This window comes from Homo sapiens, chromosome 8, assembly GCF_000001405.40.
Source record: "Homo sapiens chromosome 8, GRCh38.p14 Primary Assembly".
Classification (NCBI taxonomy): domain Eukaryota; kingdom Metazoa; phylum Chordata; class Mammalia; order Primates; family Hominidae; genus Homo; species Homo sapiens.
Window position 1 is genome coordinate 71343871 of NC_000008.11, and position 18688 is coordinate 71362558.

The 18688-nt window shown below is 35.0% G+C and overlaps 1 protein-coding gene across 26 annotated transcripts in view, besides 2 other annotated features; it reads right to left on the reverse strand.

The window, feature by feature from the left end:
• Window positions 1–18688, reverse strand: part of EYA1 (EYA transcriptional coactivator and phosphatase 1) — a 350662-nt gene that overhangs the window by 146438 nt on the left and 185536 nt on the right. For 14 of the 26 annotated variants that reach the window (NM_001370336.1, XM_011517484.4, NM_001370333.1 and 11 more), the window contains 2 exons: window positions 12592–12641; window positions 10912–11039 (listed from right to left, as the gene is read on the reverse strand). In NM_001370336.1, the coding sequence (NP_001357265.1) occupies window positions 10912–11039; window positions 12592–12641 (178 nt within the window). Of the gene's footprint in view, window positions 1–10911; window positions 11040–12591; window positions 12837–17776; window positions 18200–18688 lie in introns of those variants that run through there. The other 12 variants (NM_001288575.2, NM_001288574.2, XM_047421529.1 and 9 more) reach the window with 5 other exon arrangements.
• Window positions 17606–18127: an enhancer, noted in NCBI's record as "H3K27ac hESC enhancer chr8:72273711-72274232 (GRCh37/hg19 assembly coordinates)". NCBI's record gives its function as "activates a minimal SCP1, AML or CMV promoter by ChIP-STARR-seq in primed H9 embryonic stem cells {active_cell/tissue: H9 hESC(primed)}" and the evidence as "EXISTENCE:reporter gene assay evidence [ECO:0000049][PMID:30033119]".
• Window positions 17880–17989: an enhancer, noted in NCBI's record as "active region_27516". NCBI's record gives its function as "activates an Ori minimal core promoter by ATAC-STARR-seq in GM12878 lymphoblastoid cells {active_cell/tissue: GM12878}" and the evidence as "EXISTENCE:reporter gene assay evidence [ECO:0000049][PMID:35858748]".

Consider the following 18688-nt stretch of genomic DNA (forward strand, 5'->3'; position numbering starts at 1 on the left):
TAGATTCCTTTTTTCTCCAATATTATGCTATAAAATTTATCATACAGACAGGAAAGTTGGAAGAATTACACAGTGAACACCTATAAACCTATCATCTGGACTCTACAATTAGCATGTTACTATATTTGCTTTTCTGTGTCTATCCTTCAAAAAACCATCTTATTTTTAATATATTTTAAAGTAAGTTGCAGATATAATACACTTCCCCTAAACACTTCAGCATTCATATCATTAACTAGAGTTCATATTTATTTTTGACTTTTTATAAAGTAAAATTTTTATATAATTAAATGTACAAATCTTAAATGTGCCATTCGATGACTTTCAACAGATACATATTATATTCAGAAAACAAAGTGAGATTGAAATATTTTTAGCTTATTATAATAATGGAAGCATGGCACAACAGTATGAAAAGATTGTACCAATAAAAAAAATGCAGACAGCAATACAACGTTCTCAATTTATGACACAGGCAATATTAAAGTAGACTTTTAGAATGGAAGAGTAATAATTTTAACTGTAGTTTATATTTATTGAGGACCTACTATATGCCATACATTTTGCTAAGCACTTTACAAGCAGTACATTGTTTGCTCCTCATGGCAACTTTATGAGATATTTATTATTATTGTGTAATTCATAGATGAGGAAACTGCAGCTTCAAATGCTAAATACATAGTCCATGATCACACAGTTTCACGTTTCTTTAATTGCCATATCTTTTGTAAATCAGCCAAAAAGCCCAGTGTTTTATGAATATGGTTTTATCATCCTTAATCATTCCTTTGATATAGATCTGGACAATCAGTGAATGGCACGGCAATAAGAAGGTTTAAGAATACCAGGGCACTGAATAAAAGTATATCAGTGTATGTTGCAAATTAGCGGGTGGTAAAATAAACTAGTGCATGAAGATTGGAAGCAGATGAGCTGGCTCAGACTCACAACCTCAATCATATCAATGTGGGAAAATGGCTTACTTGCCTAAAAGGCAATCAATCTACTAAATGTACATCTCAGATCATATGTTTTTCTCATCCTTCACCAACTCACAGGAGCACCCAGACATAAACCCTAACCACATTGAGTATTAATGGAAATAGTAATTACTAAGTACCTCAAGTACTCCAAATACCTGCAAAGGCTGTGCTTGATATGCAGGATCCCAAAGGAGGAGAATATATCTTTTCCTCACCTGGAGACATTACAGTAGCCAGTCCCAGAAGATATGTTTCTTTTTAAAAATATAACATTATTTAATAATAGCTGCTATGTTTTGAGCATGTAGTAGATACCAGTAAGTGCACTTAATATTTTGGATAGACTGTCATAGCACCTGTGATGAAGGGGCAATGCCATTCTACAGCAAAGAAGGCAGAGGCTCAGAAATAACAGATAATAATAGCCAGTGGACATTGAGCATTTTCGAGGAGTCAGACTCTGTTCTAAGCACTTTACCAACTCATCTAACAGTTGTAGCAACACTACAGGCATGTAGTATTATCATCTTCATTTTACAGACCAGGAAGCAGAGGCATAGAGCAGTTAAGTAAGTATTCATCATCATACTTGGTAACTAGTAAGTGGCAGAGCTTCAAACAGAGGCAGGCAGGCTTCAGGACTCTTGGCTCCCTGCTCTGTTCTCAAAATGCATATGTTAGTTGCTGTGAATAAACAGCAGAATTGTGATTGTGTTTTTTTTAGTTTAGGTAAGTCCGACTACAAAACTGCTCTCACAAGCATGCAATTCTTCCTATATTTCTAATATTACTCATTTTCCACATCACTGTCTTTAAGGCAAGTATCAGATTTGTTCAGAAAAAGATAATAATATGTAAATAAGCGCATGATTTCAGATAAAATGCCTTCATTTCTTCTCACCTGGGGTCCCTTCTTAGTGCCCACTACCCCTTGAATACAGTTTCAAAATACTCCCTAAGTGCATTTCTAAAACACAAACCCAATCATATCACTTTCCAACTTACAAGCCTTCAGCTTCCACAGCTCCTGTACAGTTGAATCTAAATTCTTGAACTTCATATCTGGAGCCCTTCATCATCATCTTTGGTGTCTAAACCCCATCTCTGTGCATGCTCCTCATCTTACACATACACACAAACACACACACACACGTGCACACGTGCGCGCACACACACACACACTCACTCTTCTGCCATTCGGAATGTCTTCGTCACAGCTATAAAGCTCAAGCTCTCTCTTTCTTCCTGGCATGGCACTCAATATTCTCCTACCTCTTCTTCAGGACTCAGGTTAAGCATCACCAGCATGCGTCCCCACAATCCACAATCACTTCAGTCATGATTAGATGTCCTCCTCCTCTGTAGAATATAGTCCTTATCTTAAAGTATGGTGGTAAATCACATTTAATAGTGAACTTCTCTTTGGCCAGAATGGAGTTTGGTATATTTCTAGATAGAATCACTTAATAAACAGCTCTCAAATTAGCAATGTAATTGTGGATATACAGTATAGATATACTACATGTATACACACATACACACACACACATACACACTTTTATTTTTTTACTGCAGTGAATATATATATATATATATATATATCTATATATATCCTTCTCCCTGCAGTTTTCCCCACCTTCAAAATGTTTACTTCCAATTATTCCTTTACCATCTTACCATCTACACACTAACCCTAAGTGTACTAACTTCCTTATCCTTATATCATTCAGTTGTTTCTTGGACTATGTGGAAGTTGCTTTATCACTATTAATATACTAACAGTTGAAGTTTCTATTTATGAAGCAGTTATTTACTATGGGTCAAAAGCAAGTCAGTCACTATAGATCAAATTCAAAACAGGCAACAATGTTGACTGTGGATGTTTTGTGGATGGACAGCCCATAGCAACTATATGAACTGTCTGAAATGATCAATTTCAAAAATTTGAAAAACAGGCTCTAGATACTTATTGAATCTGTTAATGCATTGTAAACTTAATGAATGCTCTTATAATCATTCATGTATATTATATACTTAGTAACATGAGGCATTTATTTAACAATTTTTTTTATTTGGCTTTATTGCCAATCCTCCCATTAGATGCTAAGGACACTAGAGTGAACACTTGTGTCCCTGCTTCGAGAAACTTAGAAACTCTTCTAGGTGAAACACACATATAAATGAATGTTGTATATCTTTCATCTTGGCCACAATCTTAGATAAGGTAACATAAACACTTCTTAGGGAAGATAAACTATTTCAGCAAGAACTCAGCTTTTTGGCTAGTGACCTAAGCACTGCTACTGGGGAGTCCATGTTTTAAAGTGTAAAGAATGTGGCTTTGAAATCAGCCTGAAAGGCCTTTGTATCTCTTCTGCAACACAGTAACACATTGTATTCACAGACTGGTCACTTAAACCCTCTAAAATGAGGTGCCTAAAAGTTACCCTAAAGATTGTTTTATTTATTTATTTATTTATTTATTTTGAGATAGAGTCTCACTCTGTTGCCCAGGCTGGAGTGCAGTGGCACGAATGTGGCTCACTGCAAGCTCTGCCTCCCGGGTTCACACCATTCTCCTGCCTCAGCCTCCTGAGTAGCTGGAACTACAGGCACACACTGCCTCGCCTGGATAATTTTTTGTATTTTTAGTAGAGACGGGGTTTCACCTTGTTATCCAGGATAGTCTCGATCTCCTGACCTTGTGCTCTGCCCGCCTCAGCCTCCCAAAGTGCCTAAAGATTGTTTTGAGGATAAATGTATGTAGAGGGCATATGATGTACTCAAAAACTTAGTCAATGCAGTTCATATTCTTTATTTTGACAAAAAGGATTCTTTCCACTTAAAATCCCCTTATTAGTAATAAATACAATGATGAAATGGGTAAGCATCATAGATTTTGACTCATGTTACAATGTTAAGAAAAAAGTTCCCAATTTGTATTATGAGGAGTACATAAACATACCTCTTTGGAATGTGTTTGGTAGAGTCTGTCTACCATTTTTTGGTGTAATGGGATACTGGAGGCATGCAAAAAAAAAAAAAAAAAAAAAACCCCAAATCTGTAAAACTAGCAAATTACCATGAACATAATCATAATAAGCTCTCACTTATAAATTGTGGGTCCTAAACGTTAACATAAACCCTTGATAAGCTTATGAAGACTTGCTTTCTCTCTACTATAGTATAGGCAATATTTGACAGTCACTGACATATGACAGATAATTTTTTCCTACCCAAACCAAAAATGGAAAATTTGTAACATGTATGTATTTTTTTTCTATTATATTGTACGCTTAGAGTGAAAGAGAGGAGAATGAATTACTCTTGACCCTTACTCCAAGTTAGCAAGGTGAGAAGAAATGTAACAGACCCCACTTTATTTATATACTGCTCACACCAAGGCATCCTTGGATATCATAAGAAATCAGGAATTACTTAAAAGCAGGGAATCTATGACCAAAGGCATATGAATTTGACTAAATACTACCATTCACTAAGGTTCACATATCTCCCAGGAGGGAACCAGAGGTTTCTCTCAGAAAATTGGATGTTCTCAGAGAGATATATTTCTGCTCATACCAAAGTTCTGGCCCAACCAGCGGAGAGATGCCACAGAACTGTGATTCTCTGCACTATTAGCAATTGGAAGTAGGGAAAAGCTGTCTACATCTAGACCTTAGTTATCAGCAAGCCTAGCTCTAGAAACCCTGAGCCTAGTTGCAGGCAATCAGCACTGGGGTTCCTATTCTTATTATGAAAGATACAGTTAGCTGCAGGTGAGAGGCTAGAGCCTATCTGCCACCCTACAAGGCTCACACGGGCCACCCCTCTATTCCTCTAACTTTACCTCTTTTACTCCCAGCCATTCTCTCTCCTCCAGCCACACTGGACTCCTTGCTGATCCTAGAACATCCCAGGCACGTTCTCGACTCTCAGATTTGGTCATTACTATTCCAATGGAGCCCCCAACAAATGCCAACAGTGTTGCTTGGCTGGTATAATTTAGTTCTTAAAGTCAAGAAAAGTGTGACTAAATTTATCACCTACTTAGAAATATTTTGTGAGGTAGAAAACATTTACTCTGAGCAGCAGCAAAACTGCAACCAGTTTTTAAATTTCACAGTAACACCGCCCCAATCCAAATGTGCATATAATAACCATTATAATGAAAAGCAGAGATGATTTCCCATCTCCATTTGATCTCAGAGAGGCTTAACAATCAGACAGCTGATGAAATTATAATTAAGTCTAAGGATTTGAAAACAATCCCCTAAAGTTAACCTAATGATGCAATACAATGTGCACCTGGACCACAGGAAGGACTCTCACACACTCACGCACACCAGAACTTCAAGACCGGACTATAACCACCCTGAGGAGTCATCCTTATAATGAAGTCCTTGTCATCAAAGCCTCTGCCACTGGTTCTTGCACAGCGCTGCTGTTTGCTAGGGAATGGCATCATTCAGCCATGAAGGCACCAATGTGGCAATGAAAGCACCAATGTTTAGTAAAAGGTATTAGAAAAGCCATCTGCAGATGATGCAAATCACATATTCTCTCCAGAGAAAAATATGGTGATTTAAAAATCCAGGCTCTGGACTCAGAACTTAATTCAAGTACCCACTCAGATGCCACTGGTACTAATTACAAGCCATGTGCCTTTAAACTTCATGTTTAACTAAGTCTTGGATTTTTTTTGTGCATAAAATGGGAATCACACTGTAGAAGTGACTTATTTACATACGGTATAGCAGTTAATACTGAGCACTTATAAGTTCCAATTATGCTGCAAATTCTATGTTACGTCCTCACAGAAAGTCTGATGTAAGTCCCCATTTTACAGATGAGAAAACAGCCACCCAGAAGCTGACTTGTCTGAGTTCACACAGCCAGCAAATAGTGAAGCTGGAATTCAAGCCCAGACTCTTAGCTATGTTGTTGACAATGTTTTAAATTTTTTTTTCTAAAGATTAATAAAGCAAAACATAGAGAATGGTCATCACAGTGACTAATAATAGGTTATTCATAAGTATTAGCCAGCATTATTATAATTTATTAGCAACAGACATGTGAAAATTATTCCCATATATACAACATAGGAAAATATTAAATCCTAACAAATTATTTGTTCATTCTTTTATGGCTTTTGTTTAAGGACAATTTATAAGAGGCCAATTCTGTGGTTACAGACAAACTAAAAATGTCATTTAGAAACTCCTTTATTCACAATGTCCCTTAATCTTCCAGAAACTAAATCCTGTGCAGAATGTAAACAATAATAAAGTTATATTACCATGTTTCTATTGACAACAGAATATTTAACCACAAATATATAAACATAGCCTATAAAATACAGCCTCAAACCATAATTTTATACACATTTGCTCCAGTTTAGATATTTCTTGTAAATCAGGTTTCTTAAAAATAATCTAGTTGGATAGCACTATATTTTACAAAATTAAAATTACACCAAGAAAAACAAATCCAGATAATTTACTAGTGTTCTAAGCTTTGTAAAAATGATAAAAACAGCTTAAGATAGATTCTGATAATTTATAAAACTGAATCTATCATCCTAAAATATGTAATACACAGTAAATTTTAAATGCAGAAAATTTAGCTGCCTAATTCAAGATAGTATCTGTTCCCACCTTGGAAATCTGATATACCAATTCAAAATTACTATTTGAATTACCATCAGAATTCCTGAAACCCTATGTGCAGTGAAGATTCCAATTGCATCTGGTTTTACATCACCTAAAGACAAATCTATCAGTTTCAAGACAAGTTTAAGCTTCTTCTTGAGTTTGAGTCTAAGCTTACAATAGAGAAAACTCAAAATTAGAGCTCTGATTTTTGCTTGCTCACACTTTTTTGGCCTTCCTCACTCCTTACTCCAAGACAACCAAAAATAAACACTCAAACCAGCAATATATGAACTGACCAATCTTAAGCTCCCATGGACTTAAGACAACCAGCGAAAACAAAGATGGAAAGAATCACTGCTTTGCAAACAAGGCCTTAATTACATACGTAAATAAAAATCCTTTTAGGGCCACAGCCCTGAATCCTTCGAAAGAACCTTTCCCAACTACTTCTCATGCTTAACACAAATATCAACACAAAGCCTTTGCCACGCAGAGGCTTGCACAGATTCCCAAACATTACAAATCCTCTCAGATTTGATGATCATCTAATAGAAGTATCACCAAGAAGCCTATTTCTTAAAAGCTATGCTTTAACAATAAAATACGTGGAATAGAATTTCTATTCCATCTTGGCCTCCAATTGCATCTGGTTTTACGTCACCTAAAGACAAATCTATGTGTTTCAAGACAAGTTTTTCAGACTAACTGTCCAAAGGAAGAGGGAAAACAGTTGAAAGACGGGCCATGATTGGTGTTTTCATAAGCATCCATTAGTGTCTTCCAGGTCAAGCTTGAGTTGTTTAATAGTAACAAAAATATGCATTAATTCATTTGGAAACATATCACTTCTTACAGTGCTTTCCTCATTGCAAGTCAAGCATTCATTTATGCTACTATTTTCTATTTTTACCTCTTTATATTTTTATATTGCAAAGATGTATAAACTGGGTGAAACCAATCAACAGTTAACTTCAACAGTAACAATTCACAGAGGGGTTGGAAGGATGTATAAAAATGTGAATAGTTGAAAGTTTTGAAATATGAAACATTCAAACAACTATTATAACTGAAGAACATTTCATGTAGGAAATAAAAAAGCACAGTACTTGAGGCTGTAGCTCAGTGTCTTTCTGTCTTTATCCCTTAGATGAACCATGAAAATAGGCACTAGCCTGTGAGTACAGAACCTACAAACATTGAGTCTTAGGATAATCTGGCAGCAGACTTAAGAAGAAACTTAATATTCTCTGCCTCTCCATTCCATTCCCTTCTTGTTTGTTCTTCAGATGAAGTTATGGTTTTTGATACAGGAGATTTTCTTGTTTTCTTAGCCTGATTATAGGAACAAGTGGTGGCAGGAAATAAAAAATAACTCTGAGTGAAAAAAGACAACCTATATAAATGCAGGCAAAGCCAACAACTGTGTAAACTAAATGGAAGTTCTGTCGACCTAATTAATTTCTATTGGGCTGAGATGATTTTCAATTGGGCTGCGGAGAAGTCACTTAAATATAAATCATGGCATATGTAGCTGAAAATGTTCATTGTAGAGTTAGGGGAGGTGATTGACATTTTAAAGACTCTTAAATTGTAATGAATTTCTTGATTTCATTCCTTTAATTCATCGGTAAACACTGCTGTTTTCAAACTAAATAAGATTTCAAAGAAGAAATAGGAAAATCTATAATGACTACACGCCAGAGAAGTTTGTCAGACATTAATGAATTCACTAATTTTAAGCTTAACTCCTCTAGTGGTGACAGAGAGGAATGAAATAGATATATTATGAGACATATAAGTAGCATGATAAACTGATTCACACACTTAATAAAAACCTAGAACTTTCCAATATTGTTTGTATCTAAACGGACATGTAACACCGATCGTGAGGGAAGTTTGGGTCCACATTTTCAAACTGAGTACTAAAATAAAACAATATCTCAGGAGACTGAGAAACTTCATTTATTCTCATTTATATTGATACCTTCTAACTTCACTTGCTAACCACCACCATGCTTGTAAAGTACATTAATGAAGATTGCCTGAAACAGGGTGAGATGAGTAATTGTGTATTCGTCTGAAATCAAGTCTAAAAAATTCATTTCCAAGACATAAAACAATTAAGTTTAAGATAAAGAACAAATTCTATGTATTTTCCAGTTTGGTTGAGGAGATCACATAATTACCTAAAATGTTTTAATAGTTTCAACTTATTTTAATTATGCAAAAATCCAACAAAGTGCAGTATTCCTAAATATGAATGTGATATCAAGCTATAAAAAGTAAATATTCAGAAATATATTATTACTCCACATGTGCTTAGAAAACAAACCACACATTACTCACACAAAGCCATCTAAGGGGGAACCCTAAACACACACTCTGTTTCAGTACTGCATGGTTCTTATTTTGTAGGAGACAACTTGCCAATAAAATGTTGAGAAAATGAAAACTTCTTAGTCCTACTCATTTCTTCATATACAAAAAAATTAACTACCAGTATTTCATAATTGCTCTTCCATATATGTACTCGTATATTCTATTGAGCAAAATATTTTAACATACTTAGTCTTCCTTATTTTTAAGTTAATTTGAATGACTGTCTTATCTGGACTTCACAATGATGGAAATGCCTGTTAAAGGTCACCTACGGGCCTTCTGCAGCTCCTGTCAGTGGCTGCCCTCACGCTGACTCCTGCATGAGGCCTGCCGGCGCAGGGACCTGCGGCAGTCTGGGTGACTATATCCACACCCAGTCTGTACTCTGCAGTAGGCATGCTTTACCTGAAGTCAAAGCCCAAAAGGAGAGGAAATAGGACTGCTTGCTTTAATTTTATTTGCTCTATAAAATCCACTTACACACTAGAACTACTTTCCTATAAATAATTTAAGTTTCTCTCTGATTGCCTATCAAAATGGGAAGAAAAAAGTTTCAGAGGAAAAGGCACCTCATTCAGAGATTAATTTTCTGCTACATCCGCAAAATTTCAATTTTTGATAGTACCCATTTTCATAAACACTTGAAATGAATGTATTTATGCTAAAAGAAAAATGCAGAATATTTACACATTAAAAGAATCACTGTTGGAATAAAAATCAAAGCATCTCATATCAGAAACAACTGATTTTATATCTTTCCTATTATTAAAAATTACATAACATTGTAAGTTTCAAAAGCCTTCACTAATACATATTGGAATATCACACCAAAAAACACAATAATTTTACAGCATTTAGCTTTGTTTATTTTTTTAAAAAATTGTGTAATGAAAGATCACCATAGTGACTGGGAAATGATGGTTAAGAGTTTTGTATATGGATGGAATTCTAACATGGATAATTTATTGAACTTCTAGTGAAAGGTATGCTCTGAGTCATCAAGGTCCTAAGGCTTAGTAACGAATAAATAAGCAAAATATTAATCTATGAAGAAATAATTTTTCAATAGACTAGAGTAGAAATAAATATAATGCAATATGTAACATATCTTTCCATATGTTGAAGTTCTAAAAATATGCATAGTACCTAAATGACTGTATAACAGGTAGCAAAAATACATATAACCTTATATGTTTAATCTTAAGTATACGTGGATCAAAGTAGGTATTTCGACTTATATAAAATTTATATAAATATTCATATGTATTAATTACACAGAAATAATTGTAATTGTTCTACATTTAAAGTATACTAATCTTTAAGTAAATAAATAGTGTGTATATCACCTAAATGCTGTGTATATTTCATAAACAATACTTTTTAAAAATTATTTATATTTTCATAGCCAAAGCCTTAAGAACACTAGGCACACAAATTATTTCATTGATATTTACAAACAATCCAGTCCAACGTCTACATTTAAACAAATTCGGCTATATTTAACAACAAAAGGGAAAATAAAGGAAATAATTCCAAGTTTTCACTGGTCACACAACAAAACAACACAAATTGATACTGCAGTGTGTACATGATCAATAAGAAGATAAAACACACTCAAAGGTTAAAAATGTTATGCACACAAATATGTATAATATACATGTGTATATATGTATATGCATTTGGTGAAACGAAACCAATCTACGCAATGTTACAATAACTGGAAACATGAAGCTCCTAACAATGAGTACTGATTGGTAAGTCACATTATTACCTAAAGGGGAAATATAAGAGTAGTTTTATGATTTTGACAACTGAAATCATAACCACCTAATAACAAAGCATATACTGATGAAGAAACAAGGTGCAAAGTAAATAGTGAGAAGGCAGACACTCACCTTCGGTGCCATTGGGAGTCATGGAATTACTATTTATATGAGAGTTACCGAGTTTGGGGCCACTGGGGGATTCACTACTACCACTCAGACGGCTATGCGGGCTGGTTAGATCCTGCATTTCCATAGACCTAAAGACAAGAAGCCTTCCATTTGACAGATGTACCAAATTCATAACACCACCATTTAATGCGCTAATGACTTGACACCTTTGAAACACACTTGCACAAAAGTCCCATTGTATCTATTTCTTAGACTCAAAATAATTCATCTCACATTTTGACTTCAGGTATCCCTTCATCATATGCACTATCAAAAGATGTCACTTGCTTTACCTATACAGCCAGTCACATGAAGCTTTTAAAATTTCATTTTTCTCTTACACAGTTCATCAAGTCACAAGGTCTAATGTGAGACAATGACATCTATTATAATTTTCAAAGAAAAAATACAGTCATCGTTGTCTTTTTATATTAAAAAGGACCAAAGGCATTACTTTTCTAAAAGAAAAGGCAACTATGTAAAGAAGTAAAATGGAAATAGATCACTCTTCTGTGGAATCTGTTTCATCTAATAAATTAGCACTAGGTACTCCCTTATAATTTACCACCCAGTTGTAATTTAATGGGTCTCCAAACCAAATAAAACACTTGAAACCTATAGTCTAGTGACAGGGAATGAGATAGTCCTGATGCATGTGTTTACTCTGGCAAACTACTTAATTGTTCCTCTGTTTCCCTTGAAACAAATGCAGCATTAAAACATTATGATGTCGGCTCACTTGTTTGCTTTGTGGATTACATACAGTGTGCCCAGTTGAAAAAGGATAAGGCCAACATACAGTGGGTCCCTGCAAGCATTAGCACTCGGAATACCTCAGCTGTCACTTACTCTGGGAAATAACAACAATTCTACTTTAGTGCTATAATTTTGCAATTTTACCATATAAAACCAGTTAAATGCCCTCTGAAAGTTCTTAGACTCTGCAGTTACTTATTCCATAAAAGGTACAAAAGCCACTACTCATGTTCACAATTTCAGAACTATACATTTATATTTAATACCCTATTAGTGAAGAGAGAATTTATTTAAAGTCACTAAAAACACACTTAGATTCCATTATTTTCTTACAGCCAATTTCTTAAAAGTTTAGGGCCCATTTACTTTATTTTAAACTTTGTATGTTTTTCTAAGAAAAAAGATGGGAGGAGGTTTAATGTTTACATATATAAAGTTAATACTATTTGCTCCTCACCCTATCAGGTCAATAAAAGCTACAGTCATTTTAATTTAGAGGTCGCACTTACATTGACTATGGGTATCAGTTTTTAAAACAGCTTAACATGAACCATTTTACTTCTAAAGTGAGCTTTGACTTCCCCAAATATTCTGAATTCAAACTAGAAATGGTCTAAAATCCAATTTTTCTCTCCTGATTCTCATTACACATTCACAGTTTTCCTAACACTAGAAACTATAGCCCATAATTATTTTCAAACCGAGGCTCCTATTCCCTTTCTACATACTTAAAATGTTTTACAAGCACACACACACAAACTGTTAAGTAATTTCCAACAGAGGCTGTTACTATTAATAGAAATAATTAAGAAACACTAGACAAAAATAGATATGGGTCACAGAAAGGTAATCTCCAAAAATGTCAAATATCAACAATATCCTTACCTGCAACTTGAGGAAACAGCAACATCTGAACTGGCTTGAGATGTTTGCACCTGTGATCAGGGGTAAAAAAATTAGAAGATGTTGTTACTCTGCTTCAGTGTCAGCTCTTAATTATACAGAGCACATGGCTGAGAACGACAATGCTCTCTTTTAACCAAAAGAGAAAAAGGAGGATACTGCAGCAGTGAAAGGCATATTGTCTTTAAGTTGAGGTCTCAACTGTTGTTTCCTCCTGCAGGTCTATCCTCCTCCTCCCCTTGTCAGGGGGGGAAGGCAGCCAAATGACGTGATAGTGATTCATCACTGGCCTATGACAGCTGCAAATGGGATTACCCCTCCCCCAATCAACATGCAAAGCAGCCTTGCCCAGGCAGCTTGGAAAAGGTGCTTGGAAAAAAATAGCGAATGACAAAATGATCGTGTTTAACAGCAATAGTTCAAGCAGTAATCCTCCAGCATCCTCAGAAGATCTTTCATCTTCTGTTATCACCAGCTGAAATAGAGCTCCCGCCCACCCCTTTGACTCCTGACAGTTTCTTATCCTTATCATAATGGTTTTCTCCTACATTTACTATTTGTCATTTAACATTCACTAAAACAGCTTCTGGGCAACTTCCTGACAATGCTGGACTAACTATATAAGGCAAAGGCAAGTTTTCATACCCAAAGTCACTCCACTGAACAATGTGCTCATTTACCCTCGCCAATTTAAAATTCAATGGGTTCTTATCAGTTCTGCCTGGTAAACCAGAAAATGTAGTTAGCTTTTTTGGTGGATTTTCCATCTTTTAAACCGAGGAAGAAAATGGAAAGTTTAATAATCAATTCACCATCCTAGTCAGCCTACATTTCAGTCTCTCTTGTTTCTAGATGAATCTGTACTTCAGGACTTCACTGAACAACTTAACTAATGTGCAGGCTTTGACAGTCACTGCCCTTCTTCCAGAAGCAGCTCAAACTGCCAGCAGGTGATAAAGCTCAGGTGAGGCCAGGCTGCTGGCTTGTAAGCTCAGGCTAACGCCTCAGTAGGAGAGCATTCTGCAAAACGTTTAAAATGGCTCAGAATTCCAAATCTTTGATGTGCATTTTCATTCAACCTGAACTGACATCAATTAGGGTTACAGAACAAAGATGAGAACTAAAGCATCTCGAATGGCATTACAGTTATCCAACCAAACGTCTTCTGTTAAGTCCTGTTATTTTTAAATTATGATTTATGAAATAAGAAATACTACCTTTCTAGCAAGAATAAAGCATCATTAAAGTCCAACTGTCTTGGTATAATGTTACGTAAAATTTCTAGGTATGTTTCTACAATACGTGCAGGATGAAAAACAATTTTTAAAAGACGCTTGAGTATAAGATAAAAATTAAATTTCAATGCCTACAGATGTGTCATTCCGTGATAACAACCTTCTGCGATTTTTGTTAAAAATTAATGTTCTCACACAAGTTTAAGTGGTTTCCTTTAGAAAGTCCAGCAATATACCTCAAGGATAAATTTCCTTTTTCTTTTTTTTTTTTCTCCACTTTTATACACCTGGAATAAATTATAGGTGAGAACTAACTTAGTTTTAAGAACTCTCCTGGCTTAATTATGTGAAAGAGTATTTAAAGCATTCTTTCTGTTAAATGTTAAAATACATTTCCATTTTAACATTAGCTGGAAAGTACAATGTTGGAAATATAATTTTAGTTTCAGTATACACTTTGAAAGTTTGGTTAGATTTATATTTGTACTTTAACCAATCATATTTAAATTTCAAAGTCAAACTGTTGTTAATAAAGAAAAAGTGAACTTCAAAACAAGAATTAGTCTACCACATTTCAGTGAAAACATGCATTTTCACGACAACACATTTCTTTTATGCTGGTTCAACTAGACTCTACTGTATTTTCATACTCTACAACTTTTGAAAGTCCATATGCATGATCTACATTTCATTAAGTATACTTCAGATATACTCTTTTGTGTCTCAGGGATTATTTAAACCATGTGTTGTGTGTTACTGTATTTAAAAATGACTCTTTAATCAAAATAACTTTAAAACAACTAATCCTCACTTAGGCTGGTCAGCTGAATCCACATCGTGGTCCAGGAAAAATAAATCTACTCTCAAGAATGCGAATGCAGACAACAATTAGACACAGATGTGAGCAAAATTAGTTACAGTTTACAAAATGCTACACTTCACATGCTTTTAGTTTTTTATGTGTAGTACAAGATTACAGTGCAGAAGGAAACATAGTCTTATAATGACTTATCTAAAAAGAACACCTATTTCTGATTGCTGTTGATTTCCTCTCATGTTTGATAATATCTCTGGAAGTTTCTGTCTTGTAAAGGTCTAAAACCATAATGTGTTTTGAAAATAATTAATTAGGGATATTTCCATTCAAAAGAGAAAAATATTATTTTTTATTGTTTCTAGAAAAGTGATGTGAGGCATTCAGTAAGTTCACATTTTCTGCTTTACACCCATAAACTTAGCATGTTTCTTGTCTTCTCCTAATCTGGTATTTTTAATTTAAATACTTCTATGAGTGCAAAAATATTTCCCATAACATAACAAATGGTCATCTTATATTACAATCAAGTCATTTCACTTTAATGCTTTTTAAAACTCATTGTATAGAATACCCATAGTAGCATATTGACAGAGTTGTGAAAATACAAATAGCAACAAGCAGAACTTCTTAGAATTCAAATTCAAGAATCCTAAACTAGTAACTTTGACTTCTGATTAGTTAATGAGGTCTTTTAAGTTTGCCTTTTTTCTAATTAAATTTATAATTCTTCACAGATGTAACTTTTGTTGATATTCAATTTGTCTCTCTCATTTTGTTAAACCTCACATAGTACTTCGCCAATCCATTGAATAGCCACATTAAATCTGTTAATACCATGCTCTTCAACCCCAGAAATTATTTCCAGAAGGCAAACTTGCTTTGAGAGATCATCAAACAAGACTTAAGGTACACATTTTATCACATTTTCCCTACCACAGAGCTCAGGATGCAGAGCAAAATTCATGACTTTTGCACTGTTTATTATACTTTGCTAAATTACAAATCAAAAGCATCTGACAGAAGATCATGCATGAAGCCAAAAAGTTAATAATGTTCTGTGAAAAGTAAACTGTAAATGGAAAGGGATTCTAAATCTCAGCAGCACAGAGCAAATAAAATGTAGGTACTTGTCTAAATTACGGGTTTTCCATAGGCTTTTTTTGCTTGCTAGAAGCAATTTTTATAAAATGACTATAATTTAAAACTTTTTTTTCAAACTGAAAAGAAATTTTCAAAGTGAAAGTACTGAGCTTATCTAAATAAATAGAGTTGGCAGGCAAGCTAGTTTTGTCCAACCACAGATCAACCTGAGTACTCCCAAATTTGAAAGACAATGGCAATTTTCTCATCAGAATGTATTTTATGTAAAAAAAATTTTCCTTAGCCATAAATCTGTGTTTTAGGGTATATTCTTGCTAAAATTTCTCCTCAATCGATATCTCCAACTATGGCATCATTGTTGTAATGAAAACTTAAATTTTAAAAATAAAAACCTAAACCTAAAATTGAAATGAAGTTCTAGGGAGACGTCAATGTTTTTTAAATGTTAACACTATATTTCCTTCTTTATCAAAGACTCCATAAAATAAATGCTTTAATACTACTGCTGATTATTTTCAAGTAGTATAGTACATTACTTTTTGCAATGCGTCGTTTAAAGAAAATGACAAAATAGAGTCCGCATGAAAACAAAAATAAGTATTTAAACCACATGGATGCTACCAATAGCTTTAAAGGATTGTTTTCAATATCAATTTACTTAAAATGTTGAATGAAATACTTTTGATATTTGATAAACAAGTGGTTTTATTCTTGCTGCAAGTGTTTTTCTTCTTTACAATGTATTCTTAATACGATTTTCACAAATGGAAATTTTCTTTTGAGAAAATCATTTATCATGTCTATGAAACTCACACAGCAGTGGACTTCCATTTGGCCCTCTAAAACTGAACAGTGGCTCAATTAGGCCTCTATGTCTGTCACCGCAAAGAATGTTCAAAGATTGAAAATCCATGGCTGCTTGCTCACTTACTGAACACTTTGGGCCTTGGGAGAACTCAAGCATGCAGAAAGTCAAATATCAAATATTTGATAATGCAAAAGCATGACTGTACATGTGTGCATGTCCTCAGACCCCAGACTGTGGGGGAAAAGACTCATGCAAGCATAAAATAAAACCTACTTTGAAAGACACATTATAAAAACAATCCCAAACCTATAAAACTACACTATGTGCTTACTATCGACCTTTTGTACCCCTTGCCATTTTAAGAAATAAAACAAAAACGTTTGCCTAAATTCAATGACAGCTCTGAATTTATTGAATTCTTGCAAATGCTATGCTCTAATGTGTTCAAAACCTCCTCCCAATAAATATAAACCCATGAGTCATTAACAATTCATATACTGATTTTGAATGGCAAATATTTTAAATGGTAATTCAAAAGTTTACAGATCTTGTTTTAAACTTCAAGGTCCACTCAAGCCTTACAAAGTGTCAATAAGAGAAAAATATATTAATTGGGTAAATGTTTGTTATATCACCTTCTGAAGATAAGTTTGTTTAATATAACGTTTGGGAAATTTATTAAAGCAAAAATATTTTCTTCCTTAAAAAGTGCTATCAATTTAATGTTGTTATCTGTTGTCCTTTCAAATGTTAAATGCTTCATTTTTTTCATATCAAAGTGTGTAAAAGTTACTTATGTATTGCAATGAACATATATGTACCGCTTTATTCAATACCACACAAATATATTTGAGATTTGTGCAGCAATTCAGAAAAGAGATATGAAGTCATCTCCCTGCAAGAATATGGTCCTGCATTACATTTATCTAGAGCATAACAAAAGTAATTGTTAACAATTAATTTGTAATTATTTCTTAATGATCCTGATCGCTCATAATTTGGAGGTTGGGAATTCTACTTCTAGGATGAAACCCTGTGGCTCATAAAGTACTAGGTACAAAGTGTCATAATTTTCCCCATGCCATAATGTTTTTCTTTGAAAACAAATCAAAACAATAATAAAAGCGCTCCTGTTAGCTTGGGCTTTGCCCACAGGACAGCTGTTGTCAGTCACTACAATTTTTCAAACAGTCAGCTTGTACTTACAGCGCTTACATCTGCTGCATCCACCAGTTTAATGTGTTCCTTCGAATTTTCTGGGTTAGCAAACCTCCATTCCTGACATAGTTTTGCTCCTGGATGGGTACGCGCGGGGGCTCTCAGGCGCTCTGGTGCAGCCGCGGCGCTTCTGGGAGTGGAGCGCCTCTGCAGGGGAAAGCTCGGCGCAGGGGGCAGGCGCCTGGCCGCTGCCGCAGGCTCGGGCTGCCGAGCGACTGAGCGAAAACGTGTTCCCCAGGAAGAAACCCGCCACAGTGGACGGCAACAGGAAGGCTTAAAGTCGGAAGTGGCACTGGAGAGTTTCTACCTCGCCCCAAACTCGGAGCCATCAGCTCCCACCGTTCTGTTTGGTAACAGCTTTGCGCCCAGCGCTCCTTCCCCACCAAACAGCAGCGGCAGATAGCATCTGAGAACCCTAGACAAAGAAACAGCAGAATCTCATCCCTCGATTTGTTTGCGCAGCCTTGTAGGTCTGCCCATGGAGCCTCGGGGCTTTCTTTTTTTTTTTTTTTTTTTTTTTTTGGTTTTTGCAACGCAAACCACAGCTATTCTCTTGTCCTAACCTTATTGGTTTAAATGCAACAATTGAAAGGAGCACTGCTCTGTCTGACTCAACCTTGCTGTTTAAAAAAAAAAAAATTATGTAAATGAACGCGCCCCACGCTATCTGAATAAACAGCTGTGTGAGAATAACTTCTCTGAGACGTGGTCAACACACACGCGTCCTCTTGCAACAGTAGTTACCAATTAAGATCTTTGGGGAGTAGTTACACGTTATCTTTTACACTTTTCCTAAACTTTTTTCAGGCCCTGAAACTTAGGGAATCCACTACTTTTCATAATTTATTTCCTAACTAACGTACCTACTACTGAAACAGGTCTGGGGGAAATAAAAAACTA